General features: G+C 46.4%; 1 protein-coding gene and 1 long non-coding RNA gene across 25 annotated transcripts in view, besides 2 other annotated features; both read left to right on the plus strand.

Moving 5' to 3' along the window:
- Nucleotides 1–2526, plus strand: part of CLRN1-AS1 (CLRN1 antisense RNA 1) — a 108049-nt gene extending 105523 nt beyond the window's left edge. The window contains exon 6 of the long non-coding RNA NR_024066.2: nt 689–2526. This is a non-coding gene — a long non-coding RNA (CLRN1 antisense RNA 1). The remainder of the gene's footprint in view (nt 1–688) is intronic.
- Nucleotides 7116–7485: a silencer, noted in NCBI's record as "silent region_14822". NCBI's record gives its function as "represses an Ori minimal core promoter by ATAC-STARR-seq in GM12878 lymphoblastoid cells {active_cell/tissue: GM12878}" and the evidence as "EXISTENCE:reporter gene assay evidence [ECO:0000049][PMID:35858748]".
- Nucleotides 7464–19284, plus strand: part of MED12L (mediator complex subunit 12L) — a 350990-nt gene continuing 339169 nt past the window's right edge. For 20 of the 24 annotated variants that reach the window (XM_017005676.2, NM_001393769.1, XM_017005678.2 and 17 more), the window contains exons 1-2: nt 7464–7736; nt 8598–8825. In XM_017005676.2, coding sequence (XP_016861165.1) covers nt 8727–8825 — 99 coding nt within the window. In that variant the 5' untranslated portion in view covers nt 7464–7736; nt 8598–8726. Of the gene's footprint in view, nt 7737–8454; nt 8826–19284 lie in introns of those variants that run through there. The other 4 variants (XM_047447403.1, XM_047447404.1, XM_047447407.1 and 1 more) reach the window with 1 other exon arrangement.
- Nucleotides 7922–8216: a silencer, noted in NCBI's record as "tiled region #19; HepG2 Repressive non-DNase unmatched - State 4:PromP, and K562 Repressive non-DNase unmatched - State 10:DNaseD". NCBI's record gives its function as "represses a minimal TATA promoter and a strong SV40 promoter by Sharpr-MPRA in HepG2 and K562 cells {active_cell/tissue: HepG2 | K562}" and the evidence as "EXISTENCE:reporter gene assay evidence [ECO:0000049][PMID:27701403]".

The following is a 19284-nucleotide window of genomic DNA, read 5'->3' on the forward strand; positions in this document are numbered from 1 at the left end:
TCTGCAGTTCCGCATACCACAACTGTAGCCAAGAGGTGTTTTCCTTTCTCTCCTATTTGTTAACAGCCCTGGGAAGAGGCATAGTGGTGAGAATGTTGGGCAATGTTTTAACAATACTAATAAAAAATACTATTATATAAAGGATCCATGTAATTGATTTGTGCACTATTCCCCAAATGCTACTGAGAGCAAAGTGTTGGCAGCGTTTATTTTTTACTGCTTAGAATTTAAACTTTAGATTTAGCAAACAGTAGGTACCAAACAGTCTTAGATATATCCAGTAGAGAGGGGAAAAAAGAATTTATTCTTATATAAAATTTGACCCTGTTACATTTAGTTCATCATTTTAATCCATCAAGATATTTTGTTTACTATACAGATTCTGCCATCTAATATATTTTCCACGCTTTCTTGCTCTGTGTGACTGCAGCAGATAGATAAGAAAGTATAAGAGGATGTCCCTAGAACTTGGAGAAAAATATTTCTCTGAGAACCGAAATATCTCATAATGAATAGTTATCAGATTATAATTTTCATCAGATGTAACCCATCCTAACAGGTTAGTTACAATCTGAAACTAACTGATGATAAAGACTGGATCCTTAACTGGTTAACAATAAAAAAGTAGTAACATAATCAATTATTGTATAACTGAAAAGTAATCTCTCTCTCTCTCCTTTCCCAACAGGAAAGTCTGAAGCCAGGCCTGCTTAGCAGAGGTCTCCGTATAGTAGGGATCTCACTCTTTCAAGATGTAGGATCTCAACTGGTTAGCCAGCCCTCTGAGTGAAGCTGGTCAGTTGGGGCTGTGACAACATAGCACACTCAAAGGGGCAGACCCTTCTCAGCTCCAACAGATTGGTGTCATTGGAAAAGGTGGACCCAGTGTAGGCAGACTTTCCTAGAGAGTCCAGAAGTGACTGTGCAAGCCCAAAGCAATCCAAACAAATATTTGTGGACCACCAAGAACCTCTGGTATGAAGTAAATAATAAAGGCATTGAACAATAATAACCTGTCTGTATATCCACCAATGGGACCGATGGGCCACAGTGTGACATCTATCCTATTCATGTCATAAGGGAGATGAATTCTACTGTGGGACAGTCTGTGTGACTGCTCGTAGGAGATTATCCAATTCCTTTTGCTCTAATTTCATGGTCACCAAATTTCTGCTTGCTAACTTTGTTTTACAACAAACTTTAGAAAGGAGGTGATCTGAATAAGAGGATATATGTTTTTCAGTCTCTGGAAAGGGGTATTTCTTTGTATTGAGAAGCCAGAACTCTTGAGTGTGTTGAGCCTTGTAGAGATTGAACCACTCTGGGTCAGCTGACAAAATAAGATTCTGGTGCTGAAAAGCTGAGTATGTGACCATGATATTAACAGTGACCTAAGTTTGTGTGGCCCCCTTCGTTCTCCAGAAACCAACCAGTCAGCCTTCATTTTGTAAATGTAGCAGACACCATTTTGCTAGTGAATGAGGTTAAATCTTTAGCCTTGTCATTGGTTCGGCTTTGTAATTTAAAACTCTCTTATTTTACCCTCTGATTTTAAATCCCCAGATTTTCCTTTCTGTGTCCTTTGCCCCCTGAAGTTTCCATCTGTCTAGCAACTAAGCACTGTTTGGGTATCTACTGTCTTCCCCAAGTTGCCTTTACTTTTCTTCTTTACCTTTCTCTTGTTTTATTTATTTCTTTCTTTTTTTGAAATGGAGTCTTGCTCTGTCACCCAGGCGGGAATGCAGTGGCGCAATCTCGGCTCATTGCAACCTCCACCTCCCGGGTTCAAGCAGTTCTCCTGCCTCAGCCTAATGAGTAGCTGGAATTACAGGTGTGCACCCCCATACCTGACTAAGTTTTGTATTTTCAGTAGAGACGGGGTTTCACCATGTTGGCCGGGCTGGACTTGAACTCCTAACCTCAGGTGATCCGCCCTCCTTGGCCTCCCAAAGTGCTGGGATTACAGGCATGAGCCACCACACACAGCCTCTCTTGTTTTACTTCTGTCATTACTTTTTGTTCTTTTAATTTGGAAACCCACCTGCTTCCTCAGTGTCATTATTAAAAACCCACATGTTACAGGTTCATTAGGACTGAAACATTCCTTCAGAGCTGAGCTGACCAACATGTTAGCCACTAGCCACATGTGACTATTGCATACATGAAATGCAAAATGTGGCTGGTCTGAAATGATGGTATAGGTATGAAATTCACACAAGATTTAGAATACTGAAGATAAAAAAGAATGTAAAGTATCTCATTAATACTTTTTTTGGTATTGATCACCTATTGAAATGGTAATATTTGGTTATACTGGCTTAAGCAAATGTACATTAAAATTAATTTCATCTATTTCTTTTTACTTCTTTAATACCAGAAAATGTAAAAGTACCTATCTGGCAAGCAATATAAAACTATTGGTCAGTGCTACTTGAGAGTCTTAATGTCTGTATTTTTTATATCTCTGTAAGCATAAATGCTGTATTAAAAACCCAATTTGAATAAACACCCCCAAATTACTCTTCCATTTCTCTTTTCTCTCTTCTGACCCACCTTCCCAAGTCATTATCATCTTTCCTTTTTTGGGGAGTTTAAAATAAAGGGGAAATTTTTCTGTTTTGATTTAGAAGTAGGCATGAGACAAATACATTGAAATATAATGGGGATGTAAGAAAAATGGAAAGTAAGCAAACTGCCTATAGACAATCTGTTAACAAAACACAGTATATACACCTGGACACGCAACAATCCCATGAGGAAAGCTAGCAACTTTAATTACTTTACCTACAGGCACTACACTGAGAATTGTTTCTTTCCACTTGAGTGGAATTGTGCTGCTATGCCAGAGTGAGCTGTCAGGAGTTTTGCTTCTCTTATACCAGAACTGTCTTCAAAGGCTCACCTTTATGTGTTATGTAAATGATAATTAATACATGTAACACATTGACAACAATAATAAGCATAAGTTTGGGAGTCAGAGAGATTCTAGGTTTGATTCTGGCTTTGCTAGTCGCTAACTCAATGGCCTGGGAACAGCAGCTTCACCTCTGGAGCCCTACCTACTAATCTGTAAAATAGGAATAGGAATAGTAGGACCACTCCCTTCCCTTCCCTTCCCTTCCCTTCCCTTCCCTTCCCTTCCCTTCCCTTCCCTTCCCTTCCCTTCCCTTCCCTTCCCTCCCCTCCCCTCCCCTCCCCTCCCCTCCCCTCCCCTCCCCTCCCCTTCCCTCCCCCTTCCCCCTCCCCCTCCCACTTCCCCTGCCTTTTCCTTCCCTTCCCTTCCCTTCTCTTTTCTCTTTTCTTTTTTCTTTTTTTGAGACAGAGTCTCTGTTACCCAGGCTGGAGTGCAGTGGGGTGACCGCCGCTCACTGCAACCTTCACCTCCCAGATTCAAGCGATTCTCCTGCCTCAGCCTCCCAAGCAGCTGGGACTACAGGCATGCACCACCACGCCCAGCTAATTTTTTGTTTGCTATGTTGGCCAGGCTGGTCTTGAACTCCTGGCCTCAAGTGATCCACCCACCTGGGCCCTCCCAAAGTGCTGGGATTACATGTGTGAGCCACCATGCCCAGCCAGGACCACAGTTTCTGATGGGTAAACATCCTGCCTCTGCTCCTAGCCATTCTTCACTCTCATTTAAAAAATCTGCTCTGCTGCCAGGTGCGGTGGCTCATGCCTGTAATCCCAGCACTTTGGGAGGCCAAGATGGGTGGATCGCTTGAGGCCAGGAGTTTGAGACTAGCCTGGCCAACATGGCAAAACTCCATCTCTACTAAAAATACAAAAATTAGCCAGGTGTGGGGGCATGCACCTGTGATCCCAGCTACTCAGGAGGCTGAGGCAGGAGAATCGCCTGAATCCGGGAGGTGGAGATTGCAGTGAGCAGAGATGGCGCCACTGCACTCCAGCCTGGGTGACAGAGCAAAACTCTGTCTCAAACAAAACAAAACAAACAAACAAAACAAAACAAAAAACAACTTCTCTGCAAATGATTGTGTCTCTGCCTTTCACCAAAGAAATTTTATTCCTCACTTCAAACTTTTTGAGAGGGTCACTGACCTGAGCATTTGACATTCATCCTCTGCAGTTTGGATGAACCTGAGGAACTGGTCTCCGATTTAGACTATTGAACTTTCAAGGTGGAGAATTGTGGCTTGCAGAGTGTGTTCATGGTGGGCAAGGACAGAAGGCTGGTTAGAAAATGCCTGCACTAGCGTATGTACAGGCAAAGGACATTTGTGTATTTCTGGCAGACCAAATGTAGGGAGAGAAAGCCAGCCATGAGCTATATTGAAGGGATTTGCCCAAAAGCACAAATGGATACCAACTGTGAGGGACTCCTTGCAGAATGCTGAAAATCAGGGCTTTCAGAGGGAACATAAGCAGTTAGGGAATCTTTGAGAAACCCTTGAATGTGACCCAAGAAAAAGGGTCAACTTTTAAATACCTGGTAACCCTCAAAAGCAGCAGTGAAGACTCAGCTTTATACTTGGAGGATATAGCACCATATGCTTAAAATGGTTTGTAATTCATTCACCTTTCTCCAGCCACATTTCAACCCCATTTCCCTGGATAGCTATACAAAACTTCCTTAGGAACCTGAACTCATCCCTTCTTGCTAGGCTGAGGTTCAAGGCTGGGACCTATTTGGGGAGCCTCTGGTCTTCTCTAATTTCTGTTCCATGCAAATTTTTCCTGGTCCCAGGGAATCATTAGCTAGGTAAAGATAAAATACCCCTTAGGAACAGTATCAGCTAGAACCCACATTATTCAACGAGAATGTTTGCCTGCTATATTAACCAGCACCACGTGGGAAATTCAAGCACTGTATAGAACACAGTGGGTTACAGGTTAAGCCCATCATGATGAGCTGATCTTAGTCTGCTTAAAGACCTGGAATGGAAGAAGGGGACCAGGAGGAAAAGGTGAGAATGAGGCAACAAGACTATTCTGTGTGACACATTCAAATGCATGCCAATAAATAAGTGTTAAGATAATAAAAATTAAGTGCTAAGGGCACTAAAAAGCCAAAAGATCACCTTTTGCCAGGGGAATTTGAAGGGGCTTTGTACAGGAATCCGTACTCTGAGGACTGTAGAGGTGAGTATTTGAAGATGAAGAGCCTGGGAATTCCATATTAGGAAAGGAAGCTAACTAGGGCAAGAGGTTAAGGAGAAAAAGCTGAATTGCTAGGTAGGGGGTAGATTACAAAGATTTCCCAGGGTAAGGAGCCAAATGCCCATGGGAAATCCATGCAGTAAAATAATGATTCCTAGGGGAAGCTTCTAAGCATATTAAAGTTTTCAATATTTATTTATTTTGTGTTGAGAGGGTCAAGGAATTCATGCCAGACTGTTTCAGGAGAGGGAGTTAAGAAGGGACAACAACAGGGAGAGGGCTATTATTTTCCCTTCTTCCCAAACACCAGGGGCACACTACTGACACATTTTGATTTTAAGATAAAATTCTTATGGGCAGATAAGATTTTAAGTGCTTCAAAGTGTTTCAGTTGGAGGCGCTTGCTTAGGCATCCCAAGGGAAGAACTGAGATTACATTTCTCCCCCAAACTAGGGGTGTTTGATTCAGTAGCAGCGCAGGCTGTTATTCCCAAAGTACCACTAATGATGCAATCATCAGTCCATCCACACATCGCCTACCTATCATCCATTCCATAAGCCAACATTTTTGAATGCTCACCATGTGTCAGGTCCCATACAGTGTTTCTGAGTTGCAACAATGAGTAAAACTGTCCTTACTAGTGTATGTCAGTGAGTTGGGAATGGGGGAGAAAGATGAAACAAAAATAGTAACTTTAATTTTTATAGCTGAGAGATGAATATTTGAGGGCTCCTTATATGATTTCTTCAGCTTTTTGTATGTTTAATAATTTCCCTAATAAAGTTAGATAATAAAAAAAACCCTTTCGGCCGGGCGCGGTGGCTCACGCCTGTAATCCCAGCACTTTGGGAGGCCGAGGTGGGCGGATTGCGAGGTCAGGAGATCGAGACCATCCTAGCTAACACTGTGAAACCCCGTCTCTACTAAAAAAAAGAAATACAAAAAAAATTAGCCGGGCGTGGTGGCGGGCGCCTGTAGCCCCAGCTACGCGGGAGGCTGAGGCAGGAGAATGGCGTGAACCCAGGAGGCGGAGCTTGCAGTGAGCCGAGATCTCGCCACTGCACTCCAGCCTGGGCGACAGAGCGAGGCTCTGTCTCAAAAAACAACCAACCAACCAAACAAAGAAAACAACAACAACAAAAAACTGTCCTTTCTTTCAAACAAGGGAGCTACATTTGATAGATGCCTGTATCACAAGGGCAAGTCCAGCCATGAAATTAATCCCAGGATATTAGTGGAAGAGAAGACCCTGGGGCAAGATGGGGAAGGTGGTCAGGAAATGCCCTCCAGTGAAGTTAGGTAAATGCTCTCTAGAAGTAATTGTTCAGATTAAGGAAGCCAAAAGCTAAACACCTGACTCAGCCTCAAACTGGGTTTGGAGGTGCTCACAGGTCAGGATCAGGAGTGAGGAACTAGCCTCTACCACATTACCTTCACTTTATTTATCTCCTTCTTCCCCCTTTGCTTAAATGTCAACGAACATCAAAGTTGATGTTCAGATTCAACCAGCATTTCCAGAGCACCTACTATGTATCAAAGGCTTCCGGTTAGAATCTGCCTTTACCACCTTACAGAGAGGGAAGGCCGAGAATGCCTCAAGCCGTGGAGAACGTGAGTCCATCAGGCAAGGACAGGTTAGGAACCCAGTCCCTCCAAGTCCAAGTCAGGGAAAACAGGTCAGAAACTTAGAATCAGTCGTGGGTTCAAATTCCGACTCGTTTCGTGGCTTTCGGCAAGTGAGTGGTCCTCTCTGAGCTGGCTCAATTTCTCCATCCATAAAAAGGGTACAGTAAGACCGTGGAAGGTTGTAAGGACCAGAGATTCTGACTATCAAGATCCTGGCACGTAGCGAAGGCTCCATAAATGGCAGCCATCATTCTTGGCCAAGTGCGGGCGCATTCTCCCGGGCACGCCTCCCGCGGGGTCCCTCAGGACAGGCCGAGCCCGCCTCCGCGGCTCCGGTCTCGCAGAGCTCGCGCCAGGTGGCCCAGCATCTTGGTGCCCGCGCCCCGAAGCGAGGAGCGAGGGCGGGTTGGATGACCAAGGTCTGCCCTGGAGGATCACCCCCCCCGCCCCTTCCACGCTCCCGGCGCAGGTGAGGTTTTCGGCCCAGGCCACGGGGACCGCGACCTCTGGGGAGGTCGAGGCGGAGGGTGCAGCGGGGGGCTTGGAGCAGGGCTCCAGAGGGCGCTCCCTCCCTCGCCCAGGTTCACCCCAGGGCCAGCCTCGGCGCCGGGGCCCGCGGGCTGCGCGCTCTGCGGCTGCGAAAACCCGGAGAGGCGGATTGGAGCGCGCTCACCGCGCTCTCAGCCAACTCCTCCGCGGTCCGGCCGCCGAGCTGGGCATGCTCAGTGCGGACGCCGCGCCGCCGTCCGCCAACTCGGAAGCTCGCGCTCCCGGGCCGTGGGGGCGAGAACGCCGGCGGCGAGCCGGCGTCGCTCGCCGCCCCCAGACAGTGGCAAACTTCGCGGCGTTCCCGGAGCTCGTCCGGGCGAGGCAGATACCGCACAAATAAAATCAAATCCAAGTCCCCCATCCCAACCCGAATGATGGAGGCTGCGGCGGCCGGAGTGACCCCGCCGCCGCCAGCCCCAGCCCGCTAGCCGCGGACCAACAGGTAAAGTGTTGGGGGTTGGGGGCGGAAGGGAAGAGGAGCTGGGGCCGTGGGGAGGCGGCGGGCTGGAGGAGCCCGAGACGCCTGCGGGCTGGCTGCCCCCGTCGGCGCTCACAGCCATCGCTCCTCACCCCCTTCCCCAGCCCCTGGAGGGACTGTAAAGGGTTAAGTCGGCCCCACGCCACCGTGAGCACGGCCCCCTCCAGCCGCCGCGACCGCCAGCAGCGCGCCTCGGCGCCTGCCCGGAGCCGCCGAGGGGACCGTAGCTGCGGATGCGCCACTGGAACCTGGCGGGCGTCTAGGAGGCACCGGCCGCTTCCCACCGGCCGCATCCCTGCGTCTCGCGCCCCCTCCAGACCTGCCTCTGCCTGCACTGGCCCGGTCCGTGTCCAGGTGGCGGGGTCTGCGGGGCGCGTGGCGGCGGGGGAAGGGTCCCTGCCGGGGAAGAGAGGCGGGGGCGGTCCGCTCCACAGCTTCTTCCCGGGAGGGGAGGGCCACCCTCGCCTTGGGCGAGCACTTCAGCCACCAGCCTAGGCGCCAAGAAAAGTTTTTTTTTTTTTTTTTCCAGTGCCCCACCCCCACCCCCATCCTGCGCCCAGCTGGGGTGGGTTTGGGTCCATTGGTGAAAAAAGTCACACGTTCCCATCAGCTGCTCCTCCCCCTGGAGACAAGGTAGGGGGGAGCAGAGGAGGCAGGCGCCGCGGAGGACCCTGGCCGACCTCTAGTCCCTCCGCCGCCGCCACCGGAGCGGTGCGTCCCGGGGCTCGAGCGCAGCCGAGTACCCGCCGAAGGCTGTCCCCATCAGTGCGTGTCTGCTGCCGGGCAGCGGCAGCATCCAACCTGCTTTATTCCTCCTGCCTGCAGCGCCACAGCGAGCGAGCGAGCGAGGAGGGGGAGAGAGGGAGTCTGTCTGCAAAGTGCTGCTCCCTGGTGCTCAGAGGCGGCTGCTCCAGCTCCAACTCTCATTCATTTCGCCGGTTAACATGAGAGATCATGGCCGCCTTCGGGCTTCTCAGCTATGAGCAGAGACCGCTGAAGCGCCCCCGGCTCGGGCCGCCCGACGTCTACCCACAGGACCCCAAGCAGAAGGAGGTAAGGGCGCCGGCGGCCTCCCCGGCAACCGGGGCCGCGCTCTGCAGCACTGACCCGGGGCCAAGTTGGCCCAGCGGGCATCGCCGGCGCTGCGGTGGAAGAGGTCGGGGAGGGGGATTAGAGGCGGGGGCCAGGCTGGGGGTGCTGGGCGACCCCCCGGCGGCGGAGACCGAGCGGCTGTCAGTCCCCGCGCTCCACTGGGGCGCTCGCTTTCCATGTGCCGGTCGCTTTCCCGTTGCCGGGCCTTGCACGGCGCCGCCGGGCGCTTCTCGGGCTTCTTCCCTGCCGAAACCTTGCTCGCTCTCACCCGTTTCTGCCTGCTTTATTTTTCTTCTTGCCGCTTCGGTAAATCGTCGTAAACTTTTTGAAAAATGTTGGAATGCAGTGCATCCTACACTGAGGTCTTGCGTTTTGCTTTTGCTGGCCAGGGACGAAGGTGAGGGGGAAGCTTTTCAAATTTTCCAGTTTGGAATGGAAGTCGTTTTTATCGAAGTGATAAATATTTAGCTCTCTGAATATACCTCTGTAACCCTTCTGCCCTTTAAAAATTAAAATTAAGGAGAAACACTGATTTTCGTCTCTAGAGGCAATGGGCTTAATTGCTAGAGGCTGTTTTGTATACGTAAAAGCAGGCGAGTTACCTTGGGAGGGAATAGTTCCCAGGATTGCTTATTTCTTTGAATGAGATTAATTGGAGACACCTTGACTCTTGCACCAGCTACATTAGCTTCAATGGCTAGGGTAACCATGGCATTTTGTAGCTGTGTATCTGTTTGTCAGGAGTTAACAAGTAATTATGTAACAAGTCTCTAGTTATAATGATCACCTTTGGCTACACCATTTGCCCAGGGACTTGCCTTTTTTTTGTTTTTTTTTTGATCACCTGCTACCCAGCAGTGCTTTCTGAGTTTGCCAGCTGCAGTCCACCCATCTTCTGTTCAGCTAAACACGAACTGACCATATTTCAAAACTTACCTTTCTGAGAATCTAAAAACCCTCCATTAAAAGTTTGTGGGCCCACTGATAGCACAGAAAGGGCCTTGTAAACCAGGCAAGGAGGGGTCCTTAAGACTTTCCTTTTGATAAGTGTATCTTTCATTAGGAGAGTAAGTGCTTGTTCTGGCTAAACTGTCTTGCTTATAAAGTGTCTGAGAAGTAAGGAACAGCAACTCCTTTTAGAGGTTTAGCACACTAAATATGCTCTAGCATCAGTGGAGTCACGCAGATGAAAGCTGGGAAGGTTTTACAGGTGGTTTCCAGCACCAGCTTTACAGGATGGTAGAGGTTTGAGAAGATTTCCCAGATTTTTTTTCCTACCCGTTACCCCACCCTGCTACCCCAACTTAGAATGAAGTTAATGGTTAAGGACTGGAAATAATAGAGAAGCTGAGGATCAAGTGTACAGTTAATAGCTTAAAAATTATTGGGAGGAAATTCTTAAAGTTTTGATAGGGACAGGGATATTTTGTTGGTTGAACTTTATCATCTTGTAATTAATGTCTTACTCTGTCTTTCCAGAGGGCAGCATAATTGATGGCATGATGGCTTGGGGTGCTGTGTGGGCTTATTTAGCATTTGTTCTTCAGGCCAATGCTCATTTCACGACTGGGGCCTCTGATTCTGGAAAGAGTAATTTTGGATTTCAGGGTCTCACAACATTTTATGGAGTTCTAAAACTGGAAGCGACCTTAGGGACTACTTTCTATAACTTCCTTTTGACTAAGTGAAACAGGCCTGGGAAAGCTTGACTCGTTTAACCAAGGTGTATAGGTGAATAAGCAGAGGAGTTGTACCACCAAACCAGTATTTATGTCAAAACTAATACTGCTTTGAGGATGATTTATGCTAAATTATCTTCTGATGTTATCCCCTTTCCCCCAAGGCAGCCAATGTTTTAACTCTCCCAAGCAGACAGAGTTATGTGTGGCTGTAGCCAAATTTGGGTACAATATGGAACAGGTGCTTGGCTGTTCTTGGGTGGTTGGTGAGTAGAGTTTCCTAAGCTTTAGTTATTTATGTCCTACCTCCCTCAAGATTTCTACCCTACCCCTGTACCACCTGTACTTTTATTCTGAAGTTTTCTTTAAACTAATTTTTTAAGAAACTTTGTGTTTCCTGGGCAGTACTACACGTGGAGTCATGGATTTATTGAAATATATGTATATATAAAATTTATATCAAATCATGTTTACATACTATTTTTAATCTATTTGATATTACATGCACACACGTATATGATTATACATAATAAAATGAGACCATTACTATTAACACTTTAAAAGTTCATCTGTGTATCGAAAACAACAGTTGTGTTCCATTAGAGATAGCTGTGGTGGAAAATGCTGATTTAATGGAGGAAGTGTGGGCTTCCAAGTTGGGCCAACCTGGATTTAGCTTTTTTTTTTTTTTTGCAATTGTGTGGCCTTGGGCAAGTTGCATAGCCTCTCATTTGTAAATTAGTTTGTGCACTTCAGAAAAAATTTCAAACCAACATTTGTGTGAGAAAAGCCCTCCTCCTGGTAGAAGTTATTCTTGTCACCATAAATGTAATTTTTATTGTTGTTGTTAACCAGTGGTAATATATTTCAGAAAAGGGCTCCCAGAAGGTAGGGTGGAACCCATGAACGAAGACCCATGTGGAGAAGTATGGGGGTGGGGCGGGGGGGAGAATATGGAAGCTTTAACCTGCCTGATGGATTGGTTATATTTTTTTGAGAGCTTGCTGTGCATCAGCATCCTGTAGGACTTCATTATATATTGTGTTATAATACTTTGCTTCCTACAAACAGACTGTGCTCAAGCCTTTAAAGCAGGGAATCAGAAAACTGGCAGTCATCCTTGAGACCTCCTCCTTGCTTATACCCCATTCATCCATCAGCGTCTCTACATCCATGCGCACATCCTGTTCAGTTCCAAAATATATTTCCAATCCACCAGATGCTCTCCAGTTTCACCAGTATGCTTGGTCTCCCTTCTGGCTTCAGGGTGACTTCTCTTCCCCAGGGCTCCTGCATATTCTGTTCTGGTCTTTCTGCCTGGACACCTGTCTAGCCACCCCCTCCCACTTAGCATTCCACTCAGCTCTTCTCACCTTAGCCTGTGGTTAGAAAGGTAGGCTCTGGTGCCAGTCTGCTTGGGTTGGGACCCTGGCTGTCCTGTTTATGTGCCCCTTATTCTCCCTATACTTCATTTTCCTTCCATATAGAGTGAGAGTGATAATACTACTTAACTCATAGGGCTGTTGGAAGATTACCTAGATAGTATATGTAAAAAGCACTTAGAACAGAATCTGTCATAGATTCAGCCCCTATATGTTTGCTGTCATGAACTACTGTCATGCCTGCCCCTTCATCATTCAAGTCTCAGGCTTTTCTGATATATCATTTACAATTATATACTTATTTGCATCTTGCCATCTCCCCCTAATAGGTCAGTTTCATGAGGGCATGGATGAGGTCTGTTTTGGTATGGCAGAAGTACCTGGCACCTGCACAATTAGTTCCTAGAAGGCTGAGGGCACAAATATTTATTGGAACATGAATAAACTTGGGATGAATAAATTAAAAAGGGAAATCCGGTGACTGAGGGCTGTTGGGGAAAGTCAAGGTTAAAGCTGAAAGTATCCTTTGCATCTATCTGCTTTGGAGCCTAGGTTAAGCCTGAAAGTAAAATTAAGCTCCAGAAGTAGGAAGGAAGAGGAGGTTTACTCTGGGACAAAAGAGACTGAAACAGGGCCAGGCGTGGTGGCTCATGCCTGTAATCCCATCACTTTGGGAGGCCGAGGCGGGTGGATCACCTGAGGTCAGGAGTTCGAGACCAGCCTTAACAACATGGTGAAACCCCGTCTCTACTAAAAAATACAAAAATTAGCTGGGCATGGTGGTAGGCGCCTGTAATCCCAGCTACTTGGGAGGCTGAGGCAGGAGAATCTCTTGAACCCAGGAGGCGGAGGTTGCAGTGAGCCGAGATTGTGCCATTGCACTCCAGCCTGGGGGACAGAGCAAGACTGCATCTCAAAAACAAAACAAAACAACAACAACAAAAAACAACAGAAAAAGAGGCCGAAACATTTGAAGAGTAAATATGTGCAGAAAATCAAATTTGTTAGAAAAATGGGTTGGGGCAGTAATGAGATTTCCGGGAATCAGGAGCTGTAGAGCCCCACCAGCAGGGACCTACGGGAATAATGGCCTGGTGTGCAGTGCAGGGGCTGCCCGAAGATATACACAGCATGACTTAGGAGAGCTGGTGGTGATGGTGGTGTCTGCATGCGGATATCCCAGAGTGGTGGTTCTTCAACTTCAGAGGACATTCAGATTACCCTGAAGGCTGGTTGAAACAGATTGCTGGGTCTCTAAGATTCAGTAGGTCTGAGGTCAGGCCTCAGAAATTGCACTGGTGACAAGATCCCAGGTAATCTGATGGTGCTGGTCTAGGGCCCCACTTCGAGAACCCTCACCTAAAGGGAAGACATCCAGTTCTGCAGGGGCTAGAGCATTCTGCTTGATACGAGCAGGGCTGGATTAGACTTCTATGTATGGCTGAAGTTGCAGTAGTTTGGTTTAACAGCCAACCCAGCCAAGATTTGGTGTTCTTGTCCCAGAATTTGTGCCCTCTCTTAGTTCAGATCTAAGGGAATGGACCAGGAAGTCTCAGTCCCCCTCCAGTGGCTTTTTCCATTACACTTGAAATAAAATGCAAACCCTTTACCTTGGCCTTCAAGGCCCTACCAGTCTGGCCCTTGTTCACCTCTGCAGTCATTGCCTGCAGCCAAACAGCCTGGCTTTGAGTTCTGGCTACTCTGTTTACTGCCTGTTTGACTCAGCTTCCTCAACCATGGAATGAGGTTTGTATTTCTTCCAACTTCATAGAGTTGCTGGGAAGAGAAAATGAGCTAATGTATGCAAAGTGTGTAGAATCGTGCCTGTCACACAGGCAGCACTCAACACAGGTCAGCCACTATTAGCTGATCCCTTATTAAAGGATGCTGGGGGTCTCCTGTTGTACTTAACCATAACAGCCACAAGATCCTGCCTTTCAAGATCTGGGCTTTGAGTCACCCCTTCCAACTTGCTGTGTGGTGGGACCACAGGCTGCCTCTCTCTTCTTCCAACAGGCCTAGCTTCTTTGTGTATAGGTTCCTGTCCCTTGCTCCCTGCAGCAGTTTTGTTTCCTGTCATTTGGTTCTTAGCTCGGAAACTCCCCCACAGGGAGGCCTTCCTTGCAGCCTGTCTTCCCTCATCCTTGCCAGTTCATTTCCCTGAGTTAATATGTTTTGTAGCGCTTGTCACTGAAATGCAATTATTAGGATGCTATTCTCTCCATGGCCTGCCTTCCAGCTGGAATGTAAGCTGCATGAGAGCAGAGGCTTGTCTGTGGTGTTCACATCTGTGAACGGCCTAGTGCCTGGGAGTAGACTAGGTGCTCAGTAAATACTTCATGAAGAAATTAATAAATGCAGAAAGAACTATTAATGAGCAATTGTGAGTATTTATAACATTTAACTATCTCAATGCTTGGTTTATTTTGGTAACTCCTGTTAGTTTTCTTGTTAGCATCGAAAACTCTTAAAGGCATGAATGCCTGTTTTAGAGGCAGCTGGGGAAGTGGAGTGAGGGAGGTGGAAAGTTTGTTTCTTCAAAAGGGGAGGATGTTGATAAAGTTTTCTGGGAAGAAAGGACAGGTTGACCAGTTGACTTGGGGGACCAAAAGAGGAGGCAAGGGAGATACTTCATTTCAGAAAGCTCCTCACCTGAGACTAATTGGCTGGCCCCAGGCGCTGCTGCAGACCTCCCAGAATCCCAGTGTTCAGGGAGGAACTGATGTTTGTGCTTAACTCATGCCTCAGGTGACTCTTAGGAGAGGAGCAGTGTAGGAAGCACTGGTTGGGAGGTCCTGCTGTTTTCAGCTTCTCACAGTTTGCTACCCAAACTCTATGGCCAGGGAGGAGGAACTCAGCTGGTTGTCATTTTTCAGGGTCTGCCAGCCTCTGCAGCCGAATGTGAAAGATGCTTGTTAAAAATGGACATATATACTTTGGGAGACCAAGGCTGGAGGATTGCTTGAAAGTAGAAATTTGAGGCCAGCCTGGGCAACATAGTGAGACACCCATCTCTACAAAAAATTCAGAAAGCCAGGTTTGGTGGTGCACACCTGCGGTCCCAGCTACTAGGGAGGTCAAGGTAGGAGGATCACTTGAGCCCAGGAGGTCAAGGCTGCAGTGAGCTGTGATCTTGCCATTGCACTCCAGCTTGGGCTATAGAGTGGTACCCTGTCTCTTAAAAAATGCAGATAAAGTGGCCCACCTCTACCCCAGAAATGCTGAGTCAGAATTCTGGGAAGGAAGCTCAGAAATTTGCATTTTAAACAAGCTTTCTAGGTGATTCCGAAACATGTCAAGCTTGAAAACCTTTGCTTTAGTTTGCTATCCTTATCTGTAGAGAGCATTGTGAACTGGGCTCCCCCTTATTCCTACCTGCTGCCCTTGATTTGATATATTAGAATCTTTTGGATAATAAATACTACTCGAAGTATAGTACCTTTTGGTACTAAACAGTGCAAATGAGTTTAGTTACTTTCCTCCTTGAAGTTCTAATAACAATGGTTCCCAGCATAGGCTTGTTTTCTGTTGCTGTACACAGTTTATAGCAGAGGAGAGTTTTATGCCTTGGTTTTGAAATAGCTATATCTCCCTTCTGCATGCACTTGGCTAAACTGGGGTATAAGCGAGCAGGTCTTGCTTTGTTCCATGAAGCCATTCTTTGAACTTGTCAGGGTTGAGGGATTTTCTTTGACTGTGTCCCTGGGTTCTCAGTTTTGCTCTTTGGGGACCCCGTAAGGCTGTCAGTTAGGGGTACAACCACTGTCCTTTAGCCTGTCAGATATTTCCCTTGGACTAGTACCTGAGGAGATGAAATGTGATCCTTTAGGAGGTTGGAGGACCACACAATGAGATCTGGAGAGTAAACTGCACTGGGTGAGCACGAGGTAGGAGAGGATGAGGATGCACAGAGTTGAAAGATTCTAGTTGAACCAGTTAATAGTGCCACCCGCAGGTGTGTGCACGTGTGTGTCTGCACATGCATATATGCACCAGTGTGTGAAGACAGTGCTCCTCGTTAGTGTAGTAGAGAGTTAAAGAAAAAAGAAAAGCAGAAGTAGAAGCATAGAGTAAGTGAAACTTGCAAACTACAAGAACTGTGATGTATTTCTTCTGAAGCTCTCCTCCCATGAGGTTCTGGGAACACCATTCTCAGGGCTTCTAGACTAGGCAGGAATTTGAGAAGTTGGAATGATCCACAAGAATGAACATGATGAAAGATGTTAAAATGTCAAGTCTCTTGAGCAGTGAAGGAAGGGGTGATTGACTTAGCTTGGAGAAAAGCTAACTTCAGAATCTGAGAAAAACCAGGTGGAGGGAAGAAATCCAATTGAAATGTAGAGGGGACGCTCTTACCTCCTACGTATTCCTCCCCAAAAAGGGAGCATGGAAACACTTGGACTTTTAATTACCTTTAGATAATTTCTAAAGCTGGGTGATGGTGACAAGGGAGTTCATGATACTGTTCTCTTTCTCTTAGAAAATGTGTATGTATATGTAAAGAACAATGTCATTAAGTTATACAGTAGCTTAATTTTGACTTAAAAATATATATACACAATCTAGAAGGATTACCACTCACATGCAACCAGTTATCTCTGGGGGATAGGATTAAGGATGATTTTTATTTTCTTCTTTGTACTAATTTGTATTCTAAGCTGTAACAATAGATATGTACTACTTTTGTCATTGGAGGAAGTACATTAAAGAATAATTATTAAGTAACTTTGACTGATTTAGAGAAATGGGTTTCTGTTAGTTTCAAGCCAACCTAGAGCCCCTTTAGGTGGTGCCTAGGCAGAGGGATCTCCTAGGGTATAGATAGAAGCATTTATGTACCTGCGATCTGCCAAAAGCTGGATAGGGCTGGAGTTAGGACTGTTAGGTGATCATTCCAGCTCCACGACTTGAACAGTGCGATATCGGGCAGTTTGGCCATTTTCCTCACCTATAAGCTGCAGAGAATAATATCTGATATATAGAGCATTTTAAATGTGAAGTAGCATTGTAAACTTAACTTTTTAATCAAATGTAAGGTATAAATTCAGTGACCTGCAGGAGCAGGTTTATACCAGCTGATTGTTAAAATTTCAGGAATTTCATGAAATGGTTGATACCATGTTGGTAGCTTGAAATTGGCCATACAATTCAATAGTAGTAGTATTTACACCAAGGAAATTGGCAAATGCTACAAATGAGAACTTAATTTCATTTTTTTTCTTTTAAATTAGAGATATAGTCTTGCTCTGTCACCCAGGCTGGAGTGCAGTGGCACCATCTTGGCTCACTGCAACCTCTGCCTCCCAGTTTCAAGCTATTCTCCTGCCTCAGCCCCCCGAGTAACTGGGATTACAAGCGCATGCCACCATGCCCAGCTAATTTTTGTATTTTTAGTCGAGATGGACTTTCGCCATGTTGGCCAAGTTGGTCTTGAACTCCTGACCTCAGGTGAGCCACTGTGCCTGGCTGACTTTCTTTCAGTCTAAGCTGGTTAACATTTACCTGCCTACCACCGGGTGTAGTTATAGATGGCAGACACTTTGTTGGCTACTTCAACATGATTATTATCCTGCTTTTCCCTTGCCTGCTTCTCACTAAAAACTTTTTTTTCTTTTTTTTTAAAGCCAGATCCTAGCAAGGCTCAGTGGTGCATGCCTGTAATCCCAGCTACTCTGGGGACTGAGGTGGGAGAATCACTTGAGCCTAGGAGTTCAATAGTAGCCTGGGCAACATAGTGAGAGCCGATCTCAAAAGAAAGCCAGATTATCACTTTCCTAGTTTCCCTTGCATGTTGAGATAAGCATATAACTTAACTCTGGCCCAAGAAATTTAATGAAAATCTGGACTCCTGGAAAATATTTGTTTCCTGTCTGATAAAAGTACAGGCACAGAAGGAGAATGGCATCTCCTGATGACCTGAAGTCTCCTTAGTTTTCTATCTTTGGAAAGGTAATAAAAGAACATGATAGCTGGATCTGGGGCAACCATCTTATGGCCTTGTGGCAACAAGCCTATGGAGAAAAGACAACATGAGGAGTCAGTTGAGTGGCTTTATGAAATCGCTAGGCTGCTAAACTGACCTTGGGACCACTTCTCCTTGGACTTCTTGTTAAGTAAACAGTGCATAGCTATCCTCATGGTTTAAGCCACAGTTGGACCATATGTCAATTTCTTATAGCCATATAATGTTGTTAAGGTACTTTCTGTTTATATTTTGGTATCCTTGAATAATCATGAGGGCCACTCCCCCCGCCCCACACCCACCCCCTTTTTTTTCCTCAGGGATTACACATTCCAGGAACTCTCCTGCTCTTTGGCTTCATGAGGAATATATGGCAAGAGACAAAGAGCAGTGGCATCTTGTCCATTAGGCAGTGCATTCTGACTTGGTCCTATCAGAAATGGAGGGGGAGCTGAACAGCGGCCTCCTTTATTTATATCTGTTTCTGGCAGAAAGCATTTTGGTGGGAAGGGAGGAAGAAGCCTGTTCTGTTTTGCTGAGAGAGGGAGATTCTGTAGGTCTGCTATTTTGGGGGGGGAAGCCATGCATGTTTATAGCTAGAAGGGAACTTTGAGGTGGATTGTTCTAACCATCTCATTCAATACAAAAGGAAATTGAGTCCCAGGCAGGTTAAAGTGGCTTGTCAAAGCAGATCTGGGCCAAGCACTTGTGTGCCCTGATTTGTTCTTGCAACTTTACTTGGCCTGTCTGTAAACAGCCTCCCCTTCTGGTAAACACCCTCACGTTGCCCTGGAAATGAGAATCACTCTGCAATTTAGGGCACCCGGTGCCTCTTTGAGAGCTGGTAACTCTTCAGCTCACCACTTGATCCTCTCAGAGCTTGCCAGATCTTGTGTGGTGTTTCCTGGGCAGGGGGAAGAATGCTTCAGAAGCTCATGCATTTTTGTCATTGTGTTTTTTGATGGAAGGTTCCCAGACCTATCTGCAGCCTCTGGGGATAGCTCTGGCATTGGCATTTGTGGACTGTGTGTGTGCTGGAGGTCATTTCTATCTAGTTTCACTTCCTTGGTTGAGATACCCCCTTATTTATGGGCAGCTCTCTTGAGAGAGACGCACACAAGCGGTACCAGTTGCCCAGTTCCCGGAAGCGATATGTACATGACATTCTATATAAATGGATCTTTCTTAGTTGTACAATGCTGTGACCCTGAGAAGAGGAGAAAAATATTAGCCATTGGATTTTATTTTCCATGTTTTGCACAAAATCTTACTATAACATATGCATGCCAAACAAATTCAGTCATTCAGCAAATGACTGAGCACCTTGTAGGCTCTTTGCCAGCTGTGGCACTATGAGGACAGGACCACAGACTTGTATTTCCTACTGTGTCACTGAC

Source organism: Homo sapiens, chromosome 3, assembly GCF_000001405.40.
Source record: "Homo sapiens chromosome 3, GRCh38.p14 Primary Assembly".
NCBI classification, from domain to species: domain Eukaryota; kingdom Metazoa; phylum Chordata; class Mammalia; order Primates; family Hominidae; genus Homo; species Homo sapiens.